At 35.9% G+C, this 14,765-nt stretch overlaps 1 protein-coding gene across 6 annotated transcripts in view; it reads left to right on the forward strand.

Annotated features, from left to right (window-relative positions):
• Window positions 1–14,765, forward strand: part of FAT4 (FAT atypical cadherin 4) — a 177,978-nt gene that overhangs the window by 99,609 nt on the left and 63,604 nt on the right. For all 6 annotated transcript variants that reach the window (NM_001438396.1, NM_001438397.1, NM_001291303.3 and 3 more), the window contains 2 exons: window positions 321–1,243; window positions 1,885–2,059. In NM_001438396.1, coding sequence (NP_001425325.1) covers window positions 321–1,243; window positions 1,885–2,059 — 1,098 coding nt within the window. The remainder of the gene's footprint in view (window positions 1–320; window positions 1,244–1,884; window positions 2,060–14,765) is intronic.

The following is a 14,765-nucleotide window of genomic DNA, read 5'->3' on the forward strand; positions in this document are numbered from 1 at the left end:
GTTACAAATGTTTGACTAATAGTATAGCGTGTGGCACTGTTAGTGTTGGACCATCAGGAATTATGTGATAGAAACAAGGAAATATATAGAAAAATATCTGCTCTCTGGAATATTTTTCTCCTCTTTACTTTTGTAATTTAACATTTCAACACCCTAGTAAATAGCAAGCAGTATATAGATCATTTGTTCACAGGATTTCCTAAAGTGTGTTTGGATGCACGGCATATCAAACATGCCAAATTACTTGCTAAAAGTTTTGGTATAGCTTGTTCTGCAATCAGCATATGTTTAAGAAAATTTTTTCTTCCCTTTAATTTCAGGCATCAACTCTCAATTGACTTATAGCATTGCTTCAGGTGATAGCCTTGGGCAGTTTACTGTTGACAAGAATGGTGTACTCAAAGTCCTAAAAGCTTTGGATCGGGAAAGTCAGTCCTTCTACAACTTGGTTGTTCAAGTGCATGACCTGCCACAGATTCCAGCCTCCAGATTCACAAGCACTGCTCAAGTCTCCATTATTTTGTTGGATGTAAATGATAACCCACCGACATTTCTTTCCCCTAAATTGACATACATTCCAGAAAATACACCTATTGATACTGTTGTTTTCAAAGCTCAAGCAACTGACCCAGATAGTGGCCCAAACAGCTATATTGAGTACACTCTGCTGAACCCTTTGGGAAACAAGTTCAGTATTGGGACCATTGATGGTGAAGTGAGGCTCACTGGAGAACTGGACAGAGAAGAAGTTTCTAATTATACTCTAACAGTGGTGGCTACAGACAAAGGTCAACCATCTCTCTCTTCATCTACAGAGGTTGTAGTTATGGTACTTGACATCAATGATAACAACCCCATCTTTGCACAAGCTTTGTATAAAGTGGAGATTAATGAAAACACACTTACTGGAACAGATATAATACAAGTGTTCGCAGCAGATGGAGATGAAGGCACAAATGGACAGGTTCGCTATGGCATTGTTAATGGTAATACCAATCAGGAATTTCGGATAGACTCTGTCACAGGTGCCATCACTGTCGCTAAACCTTTGGATAGAGAAAAGACCCCTACCTACCATTTAACTGTTCAGGCAACAGATCGAGGCAGCACACCCAGAACTGATACCTCCACGGTCAGCATTGTTCTACTGGATATTAATGACTTTGTTCCTGTATTTGAGCTATCTCCATATTCTGTAAATGTCCCTGAGAATTTAGGGACACTACCCAGAACAATTCTTCAGGTCAGTATATTTAAATAAAGCAAGTATTGTCTTAATTATAAGACATCTATTTGAAAACCTCCCCTCTTCTACAGCGTTTACGCTTCCCCTGTTCTCTCCTCATTCTCATCCATAAATGCTCAATTGCAGATACAGCAAATTTTGAAAAGGAAAGGTTTATAAACATCATACCTAAGAACCTCTTAATTTCCTCATTGATGAAACTTTTGTATTTTACTAGCTTTCTTTTGTGTATACTCATGTTGCACACATTTATGTATTTGTGTTTTTGAATTTTGTTCCACAAGGATAATATCTGCACATAGTAAAAAACTAAAATGATGGAAATGTTTGAAACTTCGTTATAAATATTGTTCTACTCTTTTCCTTCATATATTTAACTACCTAGGTGAAACTGCTCTTAAAAATTTTTATGAAGCCTTCCAAAAATGCTGTGCATTAGCTTTACACATATTTTTACACAAATAGACTCGGGTGATATATACTATAGTGTGCCATTTTTATTTTTTACTTGAAAATCTAAAAATATATCTTTGGAATCTCTTAACATAGTTTTACCTCATTTTTTTTTAATGGAGGCATTTTATTTCATGAGATGCATTGTTTGTTTTACTCACATCTTGGTATGTACTGTTCTACAGGTGGTGGCAAGAGATGATGATCGAGGATCTAACAGCAAACTCTCATATGTTCTGTTTGGTGGTAATGAAGACAATGCTTTTACTCTCTCAGCCAGTGGAGAACTTGGAGTAACACAGAGTCTGGATCGGGAAACAAAAGAGCGCTTTGTCTTAATGATTACAGCTACAGATTCAGGTAAGTCCATTACACCCTTGTTCATTTGTAGATAATTTCTAGGCCAGGCACGGTGGCTCATGCCTGTAACCCCAGCACTTTGGGAGGCCAAGGTGGATGGATTACTTGAGGTCGGGAGTTCAAGACCAGCCTGACCAACATGGTGAAACCCCATCACTACTAAAAATACAAACATTAGCTGGACATGGTGGTGCGTGCCTGTAATCCCAGCTACTCAGAAGGCTGAGGCAGGAGAATCGCTTGAAACCAGGAGGCGGAGGTTGCAGTGAGCCGAGATCACACCACTGTTCTCCAGCCTGGGCAACAAGAACGAAACTCGTCTCAAAATAAACAAATAAATTAAATAATAATAATTTCTTCATAATATGAGTATGAAGTATTTTCTGTTTGCCATTAAATGAAATATTTGTTCACTTTTACTAATGCTTGAAATTCTGATTGCCTCTATGTTATTGATGGCACATCATTCACTTTATGACATTTATATATAAGTGGCAAGGGCTTAAGGACATCGCCACCTAAGCCCTATTCCCATAAAACAGAATGAATTGTTGCCCTATAAGCTTATTGAGTACCTCTGGATGTGACCTTACACTCTACTTCCTGAGCTAGGGGCATTTAAAGTACTTTAGCTTTGGAAACATGTAGATGGTTCCAACCACTTCTCTTCTGATAGACATGGGTGAGTGAGTCTGTTAGGAGGAGCTTTCACTAGAAGGTGGCTCAGTATTCAGTGAAGCATTGGTCTAAATGTGCAGGCTGCTCAAGAACAAAGTCCTGGTTCCAGGGAGCCAAACTATAAGTTCCTGATGCCATCAGCCTTGAAAATCAGGGTCAGGGGGAAACCAGGACTTGGAATTATTAGTATAAGTATAAATAACAGAAGTCTAACCCTAATTTCTATTAAATAAGAAATATGCAGATCAGATGTGTGAAGATTCTGCCCAATAGAGTTATGGAGGATTCTAAGTTATGGAGGGTGAGCAATCAGATTATCAGTAACATTATGATATGTGGAAGCCTGTCACTCAAAGCTTTAAAAATGATGCTGAAGACCATGATGGGAGGCACAAATGAGTTTCAGTGACATTAGTGTCCTAAGTCATGGTGTTTTGGCAGCTCTAAAAATGAAAGCATTAATTAAACCTTGTTTCAAAGCACAGCTCTCTATGGGCACTGTTTTTCGAGTCGCTCTGAAATAGACTGGCATTTCTGAGGCCACTGGTGGATAAATACTCAATTAGATGTCTGAAGTTCACTTTTATGAGTGATACAGAAAACAGAAGTTGTGAGGAAAGTTGAACTGGGTGATCTTGAAATTAATTCCCTTGGATACTCTTGATATGAATAACCACTTTTTTCAGGAGAATGTGAGTTTTAGACATCCGGTTTTAGAATCTACAGTTTAATCTTATTTTCCAAGAATGAGATCTTTGACAGAGGACTTAAATTACATATTCACTGTTTTCATTCAAAAGTCAAACTTGTAGATGACATGAGAAATTTCGGAAAAATATGGCAGCTATTAGATCCCAGATGCAATGTTTTTCTCAAATCTGTAGTGTTCTAAGGGCCTGGAAAATATCAAAGTGTTTCAAAAAAATTTTGAGAGTTTAATTCTTTATCTCACAAATCACCTTTCCTTTGCATTTTTTTTGAACTATTACCTTAGCCCAGAGATAGGTCAACTTCATCAGTATGGCACAGATTGCAGTGGCAGTTTTTAATCATGCAAACCACTAAATGTTTCAATGTGGGAGGGAGAAAACATTACCATTTAAACTCTCATCATATTTTTATTTACTGACTGCATGGTTACAGAGTAGCACATTTGGAAACTCTAACTACTCCTGTCTACTGCTCCAGTAAGCTACAACCACAGTATCATATGTATGCAGTGCTAAAAGTTACATTACTAAATTACAAAACCGGAAGAGGGTATAATAATTATATCTCATTTTTCCTGTAGATAATTAAATTGCTAAACAGACTACAATTCCATTACTGATGATATGTTGCTTAGCTATAACAGAAAGTATGGATATTCGGCCTTCATTATGCATTACTTATAGTTATTTCTTCTGGAAATATTTACTGTACCAAGTAGAAACTCATAGGAGGCTAACACATCCACCTGGTATAGTAATGCAGGTACTACTACATGGTTTAAAGGAGAATTTGCTCAAAAGCAGTTATGTCCTTCATATGGGTTAGGCATTCTACTCCTAAGTAGCCTTTCTTACAAGAGTTTGCCTTACCATTTTCTCATATGTGCAATAAATAAAATAATGTTTTAAATGGAGCAAGTAGCAGGAAATTATCAGGGAAACTAGAAGAGTATACTTTAAAAAATGAATTCAGATAATTAATTTAGAAATGGAAGTATATCATGTAGTTAAATACATAGACTTTATAGTTAAACCCCAGTTCACATCCTACCTCTGACATTCCCAGCTATATGACCTTCAACAACTTTACTATTCCTTCATGTTTGTATCTATGATTGGAAATACTAATATCTATATGAAAGTTTATTGATCAAATAGATAAAAAGGAATACTTATTCTAGCTATTAATGTCAGTCAGCATGTTTACTAGACATTTCAAGCTTAGTAAGGCCAAAGTAACACTTTTGACTTCTATTCACCTCCCTACCTTAAATGAATTGCTTCATAGATCATTTCACAATTGCTGAAGGCAAACCTTGTTATTATTCTTCATTCCTCTTCCTCTGTACACCATATCCAACAAATTCATTAACAAGGAGACTCAGCTTCAAAAATGTCCAAAAGTGTCCTGAATTTATCCACTTTTCTTTACCTCCAAAACGACCTCCTTAGTCTAAGCTGGGGTAGTATGATAGCTTGCTAACTGCCTATCTTTTCTCCTGCATGGTGCATTATTCAACAGGCAACCCAAGAACATTTAAAACTATAAATTAGATAATCATACCCTATCTCTTGCATAGACAGCATGCAGTGATTTCTAAGAATAAAATTTAAATGTCTTACCATTGACTACATGGGATTCAATAACTTGGTCTCTGTCCATTTATCTGAACCCCTCCACCACCACCAGCTGCCACCTTTATTTTGAGCCAGAGTCGTGCACTGGCCCCAGCTCACCCTTTGTCTCCTGTCAGTTCTGCATTTAGTATCATCACATTATTAGATTGTAATTGGCCAACATGGAAGTATTTACACCCTGGAAATCAGTAAGTGCTTTGAATGTAGTTGGCCTGTTTCTTGAAAGCAGTTGCTAAACATTTACTGAATACTGCCAATGCCAACCAATCAATCAGGCTTCCTTAAAAATGCCAACCTTTCTGCCATGTTGGCCTTTTGCACTTGTAGTTCTCTCTGCCTGGAATTTTCTATTCTACAGCGAGCTGTTTGGTTTGGTTTGGTGAGGGAGAAGGGCATCCATGTCATGGTCATTTTGTCATTATTTTAGATAAAATGTCAACTTCTCAGAGAGGACTTGTCTGACCAGTAATGTTATGTTTGCCCTTTCCCTTTTCCCAGTGTCACTCTATCAACTTCCTCTTTATGATTTCTTAACACAAATTCCTATCTAAAATTGTGTTCTTCTACATAAAATATATGAGTATATAGAGTTTGTTTACCTTATCCTTCTCTATCAGATTTCCAGAGAAAGTAAACTTCCTAAGTCTTATTCAAAATGGGATTCTCAGAAACACTTAGAAAAGGACCTGCAACATAATAGGTGCTTAATAAATATTTGTTGAATGAGTAAGTTATATATGTTGAATAATGATAGTTGTCATTTGAAAGACAACCTATTATTTTAATATGCAACTGTTATTTATATTTATTTAACATACTTATATTTAGTTTATTGTTATATATTCATTGTTTGCAGATTTTTTTAAAGAAACTTCCAAAAGAAAAAAGTGCAAATCATTTTTAATTCATGGCTGAAATTCCAGAAGTTTTTGCTACATTGGCTGTGGTCATTCAAAGTGACCTCTCTTTTGAAAAGCAGCACAAGTGTTTAAAGCTTTGTGGTGTTTAGTGTGATGTGACAAATTGCAGTCACATGTAAGGACCCAGTGAAGCATTTTATGGCTTTAATTCAGTTTCAAGTGCTTAAAATACTGCTTGAGCTATATTCTCATGACTTTCCCCTGAACCTTCTGGCTCTGATTCAATTCTGTTATCTATTAGACGTTTCTAGACAGGTCGTATTGCTACTCTGTGCTTTACTATCCACCTTTTCTTACTCTGGTTCATAAGATTTAATTCAAAACCTGCATGAGCAGAAACTACATGCTTCTGAATAGTTTTTGTTTGTTTGTTTGTTTTGGAGAGGGAGTCTCACTCTGTTGTGCAGGCTGGTGTGTAGTGGCATGATCTTGGCTCACTGCAACCTTCGCCTCCCGGGTTCAAACAATTCTCCTGCCTCAGCCTCCCAAGTAACTGGGACTACAGGCACATGCCTGGCTAATTTTTTTTTATTTTAGTAGAGACAGGGTTTCACCATGTTGCCAGGCTGGTCTCGAACCCCTGAGCACAGACAATCCATCTGCCTTGGCCTCCCAAAGTGCTAGGCGTGAGCCACTGCGCCTGGCCTGAATAGTTTCACCATTCGACAATTCTTTTATACCTGGTTTTCCCAAAGCAAACAATTGTGAATCTTCCATATCTCCCACATATCTAAGCACTTTCTAAGCACACGTGGCAATTGGTTTCACATAGCTTAAATATAAGGGCCCATCATTTCACACCAACTTAATATGAAAAATTTGCTTGTTTTAAATTTTATTATGGAAATTTTGGTGTTCACATAAATTATTCCAACAGATATATACTTACGCAAGTAATTTGTCCAGACCTTTTAGAATTTTTTTAACTCAAGATGAGATTATACCCTCAAAAATAAATTTAAATGCTGTGAGGCATTAATATCTGCCACTACTCTTTCAGGGAACTGAATTAATGTGCGAGAAAGCAGTAAAACAAACTGGTATGACACTTTGGGGATGCTACAGTTATACTCAGAGGAGTTTTTAAAGAAAGCTACATATGAAAAAATTCTAAGTTAGAGAAATCTGACATTAAGTGATGGTTTTTTTTTGGCCAGGAGGTTTCTTGGAGATGAGCCAGTCCACTTCCTTTATTTTCCAGATAAGAAAATTGAAGGCTGGGATAGATAAGCAGTGTGCTAGAACTTGCAGACCCAGGTAGTAGCAAAGTCAGGTATAATATTTAGAATTTCTGCCTTTCAACTAAATTCTTGCTCATCCATATCATATTTATTAAATTTTTTTAAGGAAATCAGGATATTCCTTAAAATATATTGCTGACTCTCTCCATGAAATAAATTTATAAATATGCAATTTAAAAAATATTTTCTTTTTTACTTTATTCATTTCACTTTAATAAATGAAACATTCAACTGCTATTTTTCTTTCCCCAAATAAATAAATGTTTGAAAACATTTTTAAATGAAGCCAAATTAAGTGGAATCAGTAATTTCAATATTGGTATTTTGAAAATAAGCTTAAATTTAGACATTGTTTAAATTTAATTGTTAAATAAAGAAGATATAAAGAATTTGTTAGGCTTTATGCCTAGAAGATGATAATATTGGTAATTATCACTGCCAATTATCATTTTGCATTAATTAAAATCAAACTATGGTGCTAATTTAATGCACTTTATAAATAAGTTCTGATTACAGTTAGTGATATGGTTTGCCTGTGTGTCCACCAAATCGCATCTTGAATTGTGGTTCCCATAATCCCCATGTGTCATGGGAGGGACCTGGTGGAAAGTTATTGAATCATGGGGGCAGTTACCTCCATGCTGTTCTCCTGATAGTGAGTGAGTTCTTATGAGATCTAATGGTTTTATAAGGGGATTTTCCCCCTTTGCTCAGCACTTCTCTCTCCTGCCACCATGTGAAGAAAGACGTGATTGCTTCCCCCTCCGCTGTGATTGTAAGTTTCTTGAGGCCTTCCCAGCCATGCCAAACTGTGGGTCAATTAAACCTCTTTCCTTTATAAATTACCCAGTCTTGGGTATGTCTTTATTAGCTGCATGACAGCAGACTAATACAGGTTACTGATATCAGAGAGAGTAGGGCACTGCTGTAAAAATACCAAAGTGACTTTGGAACTGGGTAACTGGCAGAGACTGGAACAGTTTGGAGGGTTCAGAATAAGAGAGAAAAATGTTGGAAAGTTTGGAACTTCCTACAGACTTTTTGAATGGCTTTGACCAAAATGCTGAGGTGTTATGGAAAATGAAGTCCAGGCTGAGGTGGTCACAGATGGAGATGAGGAACTTCTTGGAAACTGGAGCAAAGGTCACTCTTGCTATGCAAAGAGACTGGCAACATTTTGCCCCTGCCCTAGAGATCTGTGGAACTTTGAACTGGAGAGAGATGATTTAAGGTATCTGGCAGAGGAAATTTCTAAATGACAAAGGATTTAAGATGAAGCAGAGCATAAAAGTTTGGAAAATTTGCAGCCTGAGATTGCAATATAAAAGAAAAACCCATTTTCTGGGGAGAAATTCAAGCCCACTGCAGAAATTTGCATGAGTAACCAAGAGCTGAATGATAATCACCAAGACAGTGGGAAAAATGTCTCCAAGGCATGTCAGAGACCTTCTCGACAGCCTCTCCCATCACAGGCCTGGAAGTCCAGGAGGAAAAAATGGTTTCCTTGGGTGGGCCCAGGGCACCCCTGCTGTGTAAAACCTAGGGATGTGGTGCCCCACATCATAGTCACTCTAGCCATGGCTAAAAGGGGCCAAGGTTCAGCTCAGGCTGTTGCTTCAGAGGGTACAAACCCTAAGCCTTGGAAGTTTCCACATGGTGTTGAGCCTGCAGGTGCACAGAGGTCAAGAAGTAAGGTTTGGGAACCTCCGCCTGAATTTCAGAGGATGAAAATAAGCTTAAATTTATACATTGTTTAAATTTAATTGTTAAATAAAGAAGATATATGCCTGCTGGGGCATTGCCTCATGGAGCTGTGAGAAGAAGGCCAGCATCCTCCAGACCCTAGAATGGTAGCTCCACTGACAACTTGCAGCTATGCACCTGGCAAAGCTGCAGGCACTCACCACCAGCCTGTGAAGGCAGCTGGGAGTGGGACTGTACCCTGCAAAGCCACAGGGGCAGAGCTGCCCAAGACCATGGGAGCCCATGTCTTGCATCAGCATGCCCTGGATGTGAGACATGGAGTCAAAGGAGATCAATTTGGAGCTTTAAGCTTTAACTGCCCCTCTGCATTTTGGACTTTCAGGGGCCTGTAGCCCCTTCATTTTGGCCAATTTCTCCCATTTGGAATGGGTGTATTTACCTAATGCCTGTACCGTATTATATCTATGAAGTAACTGCTTTGCTTTTGATTTTACAGGCTCATAGGTGGAAGGAATGTACCTTTTCTCAGATAAGACTTTGGACTTGGACTTTTGAGTTAATGCTGAAATAAGTTAAGACTTTGGGAGACTGTTGGGAAGGCATGATTGTGTTTTGAAATGTGAGGACATGAGATTTGAGAGGGGCCAGGGACAGAATGATATGATTTGGCTGTGTGCCCAGCCAAATCTCATCGTGAATTGTAGTTCCCTTAATCCCCATGTGTCCTGAGAGGGACCTAGTGGGTGGTAATTAAATCATGGGGGCAGTTACCTCCATGCTGTTCTCCTAATAGTGAGTGAGTTCTCAGGAGATGTGATGGTTCTATAAGGGCTTCACCCCACTTCACTCTGCACATCTCATTTTTCTCTCTCCTGCTGCCTTGTGAATAAGGACATGTTTGCTTCTGATTCTGCCACGATTATAAGTTTCCTGAGGCCTCCCCAGCTCTGGGTTAATTGTGAGTCAATTAAACCTCTTTCCTTTATAAATTGCCCAGTCCCAGGTATGGCCTTATAGCAGTGTGAGAAGGGATTAACACAGTCAGTGAGACTATTATACTTCTATGGGCTTATTGATATTTAACAAGTCTCTTAATATTGCTTTTTCACAAAATGTTTATAGAGCACTCTACTCCAGATATTCTTCTAGGTGCTGAAGATAGGCTGGTGAAGAGGTCTCTGTCTTTATACAGCTTAAATTACAATCACAAAAATAGACAGTAAAAAATAAACAATATAGTATATAGATTGGGAGTGTTATGAAACATGATGCGGTTAAATTAACTGGCGAGAGAGTGTTAAGTACTTACGTATTTTACCCATTTTGAAAGTTGAATCTTTGGACTTGATGGTAGAATCGGAAGGATAGGAAGCTGCAAAAAGGCACGAATCAGGCATGAGTCCTAGAATATTTGGATGAACAATTTGGAGATGGGGAGAAAAAAGATTTTAGGGCAAATTACCAAGACTTAGTTTTTGGACATATTACGTTTGAAATATTATAACTAATTGAGATGTCACGTAGAAAGTTAAATATAAAAGTTTAGTTCTCAGGGAAGACATTCAAGTAGAGATACATCTTAGAAAGTCATAAACATTAGATGATATTCATTATATGCACACTTAGTGCTTGTAAGTTCCAGAATATGTATTATATTATCTCATTTAATCTCACAATAGCCCTGAAAGTTAGGGACTAGTATCTCAATTTTATTGATTTATAAAACAACCAACAAAAATTTGTGTTATAAAAACTAAACAACTTGTACTGCCCATTCAGCTGTTTGTCAGTGACTACAGGATTTGAGGCCAACCCACTTAACAGGTGATGATTTCTTAACAATTATTTACCAATTCCCAAATGTCAGCCTGTCTACCATATTCTGTTTTATATAGACTATGTTTATACGAATTTCTTCCCTTTGGATTAAATTTTATTTTTATATTAAAGAGAACATTGGTTTAGGAAGCAAAAAATCTTGTGGTTCTCTCTAAGTAAAATAGCTGGTAAAGTCATAATATTCATGAATTAGAAATCACAGCATTATTCCCCTCAATAAATAAAAAATATGTATCCAAGGGTTTTATTAAGTATAAAGTACAAAGCGAATCTTAGATATTATACTATGAACGTACAATACATATGATATGCTCATACCTGCATAGACAATGCAGTTAGTTGGGCTGTATGTTTGCATTGAATTTGGGGGTAGGAGATTAATCTGCGCACAAATTAAATATGTTATCCTTTATCCTTTATAGATAATTCTCAGTCTGTTGTACTAAAGGGATATAGAGATTCTGTCTCTAGATTTGGCACAAAAGTTTAGTTATAAAGTATTTGTGTGTCAGCATAAATAGTAGGTCTTCAGGGAACAGTTCAGTTATTAGCATTTCTAATTAAGGGCATTTATCATCCAACTGAAAGGGAATATATTTCATTCTTATGCAGGGATTGAAAATTGCTTTTTAATGGAGGGAAACATGCTGTTTTTGCAAAGTTAATGCTAAAAGCTAAAAGGAGTGATCATCATGCTTTATTTTATTGGTGAGCACCTGGTAACATTTTGAATTGTTGTCTGTCACATTATTTAGTTGAAGCTGGTCATTGCATTATAAATGGCTCTGTAATCAAAAGAGAGGTCAGAATTGTGTAATATGACATTTTACATCCGAAGATAATTGTTTTTAAATATTCCAGAAAGATCACATTTTGTCAATATTATTTGTGGGAATGTATGATAGAAAAGTTTGCCTTGTCTGTTATGATCAACATTTTTAATAATGAAAATTGCTTGAAAACTTTTAAGGCCCCAATAATTCTATAAATCAAATCATGCTAGAGTTGCCTTCAATTACCAGACATGAAATGCATTTGACTTAATTTTATTTTTGAGTCTCGGGCAGCTTTTGTTATTTCCATTGGCATATTTGTCATAGATGGGAATCTTGTTTCCAAAGTTGATAACTGGTTATTGTTTTAATTCCTCTTATTTGTAGCAGACTTTCTATGAAGTTTGTTAGTGATCTAAATATTATTCTAAATCATTTATTTAAATAGCATTCTTTTAAATCAGCTACTCTTTAGTCAGAAAAAAATATTTCTACATAGAATTTTATTTGTGTTTTCTTAAGATAAAACTCCAGAAACATTTAATTTCCAAAATTCCATTGAATAAGAGCTAAAGTTGCCATCAGGTTCCATAGAATTGAAATTTGATAAAACAGTTTCAATCTATTATCCATTTACTCCATGTGAGCTACAAATCTGAGTATACAAAGTAAATTAAACTTTGAAATGGCAATAAACTATGATTAATATTTATGATAAAATTTATAGAAACTGAATGATAAAGATTATATAAAATCAAAACCAACATGATTTCATTATGAGGATTTCATTATTTTCAAAAAAGTTTTCTAATTCTATCTTTTTGAAACAAACCTTTTTTAAAGCTTATTTTGATAAGTATTCTTAAATATATAATTTGATATTTTCACTCAGGAGGCAGGCAGAGGTAGGTTGAGTTTAAAATTAGGTGGTAGCCTCTAGTGTTTCAGAGTTTCAATAACTGTGTTGAAATTTTTGGGTTTCTTTAATGTCCTCCAAATAGTAATTCCTCATATGTGCTTTTTGCAGGCATAAAATATTTGGTTATTATTATTTTTTATTTTATAATTTTTAAAAATTATGATAAGATGTACTTATCATTACATTTCTCATTTTAACGATTTTTTAAGTGTATGGTTTAGTGATTAAGTATATTCACTTTGTTGTGCAATTTTTCAGTGGCATTGTCATAACTTTACTAAAGTAATTATTTTAGTTTTACTTCATGCCTTTATTTAGTATGTAATTTATCTTAAGGAAATATAGTGTTTTTGATAGATTCCTATGCAAAAATAATGAAAAAAATATTAAGTGTGTATATATCTAATTTATATAAGCATATATGTAGAACTAATTAGCAGCAATACATTATTTTATAAAACAGAATTTTTAAAATACAGAAGTGTTGTTAATATTTAAATTGTTACATACCTTTTGTTTTATGTATTTTTTGTATTCAAATTTTAATCTAACCACATAATCTTCAATGCTAATATAGGATGACTGAATTTCAATACATTTTTTAGTGGATGGCTTACTTACTGTGAGAAAAATGAGTTTACTTCATGGGGAAAAAAAGAAGCTAATACTTTATTACAACAAACACACCGCTAGTCAGGGGACCCATTTACCAAATATTTGATGTCAAGAAAGAAAATGGCTTTGTTGCAAAGCAACAGAATTAAGTTAAGCAGAATTCTATTTCTGCTGAATAGCCTTTTATGTTTCAGAGAAGTATTTTTGATTTATAGTTGCTATTATAAAAAATATAATCTTCCTGACATTTGAACTTCAATCGTTTAAACTCATTCATTACACTTATTATCTGTGTATATTCTGATAGAGCAGTGACCTGAAACTTTTTTCTTTTTTCAAATCTTATTTTAAGTTTTAGGCCAGGTGCGGTGGCTCACACCTGTAATCTCAGCACTTTTGGAGGCTGAGGCAGGAGATCACTTGAGGTCAGGAGTTCGAGACTAGCCTGACCGACAAGGTGAAACCCCGTCTCTACTAAAAACACAAAAATTAGCCAAGTATGGTGACACATGCCTGTAATCCCAGCTACTTGGAAGGTTGAGCCAGGAGAATCGCTTGAACCCGGGAGGCGGAGGTTGCAGTGAGCCGAGATCACACCGCTGCTCTTCAGCCTGGGCAACAAGAGCGAAACTCCGTCTCAAAAAAAAAAGTCTTATTTTAAATTTTCTTGAACTTCATTTGATATATTTGAGCTGACTAAGCTACCAGTCTTAAAGGCAATGCTAGTTATTAGTTTAATGGTTTTTCATACTTAAGAGTATAAAATGTGACTCACACAAGGCCCAGGGTTAACTGTGGTATCATAAATAATTGGAAGATTAACCTGTGCACAGTCTCTCTCTCTCTCTGTCTCTCTTCCCATGAGTGTGTGCATGTGCACAATTTGGTTTGTGTAAATTTTAAGATATGCCATTCAGAATTTGGGTTTTCTTTTTTGGCTATTTTATGTGAAAACTGAAGAAGAATTTTATCACTTTTTCCATGTTTATGTTATATTTATGTTTATATGAATACATATGTGCATACATATGTACACACACTACATACAACTTTACAAATTTAAATTTGAAATTTTTTCATCTGACTACTAATTGTAATTAGGTTTTTGACTTTTCACTGGAGTTCTGACTTCTAATTCAAATATCCACTGCATCTTCTTAACCTCTACAATTACAAGTTTCTGAGACCTTCACTTTTAATTTTATTTGTATATTTTACCCCTTTCATTGGCTCACTGTCCTCTATCAGGAGCCCGTGTCATTATATCCTGCCTCTTTGTGATTGCATCTGGTTTTCATAAATCAATCCCAGGTGGAATTGAACAATTTTGCCCTATTACACCACTACCTATATAATTCATCATTATCAGATCTATTTGAGCTAAACATTGGCCCTAGTATTCTGACTCTTCTCATGGGATTCACGTTTAATTGGGACCTTCTGTTTCTAAGTAGTACACTATCTGCAAAACTTTGACCTTTGTCTGTAGTCTTGTTCTCTGACCCCAGCCTTAGGCTAAGTCCCAGACTATAAAAGTATAGTCCTAGATTGTATATTTCTAGAAGTGTTCAATTATGTGAACTTTCATCCATGTAGACCAGGTTTTCATATAGAAAATTAGAGAAAGAGTTAATACAGACAGAGCACAAGACCTAATGGTATGCATTAT

The sequence above is a fragment of the Homo sapiens genome, chromosome 4 (assembly GCF_000001405.40).
Source record: "Homo sapiens chromosome 4, GRCh38.p14 Primary Assembly".
Lineage (NCBI taxonomy): Eukaryota > Metazoa > Chordata > Mammalia > Primates > Hominidae > Homo > Homo sapiens.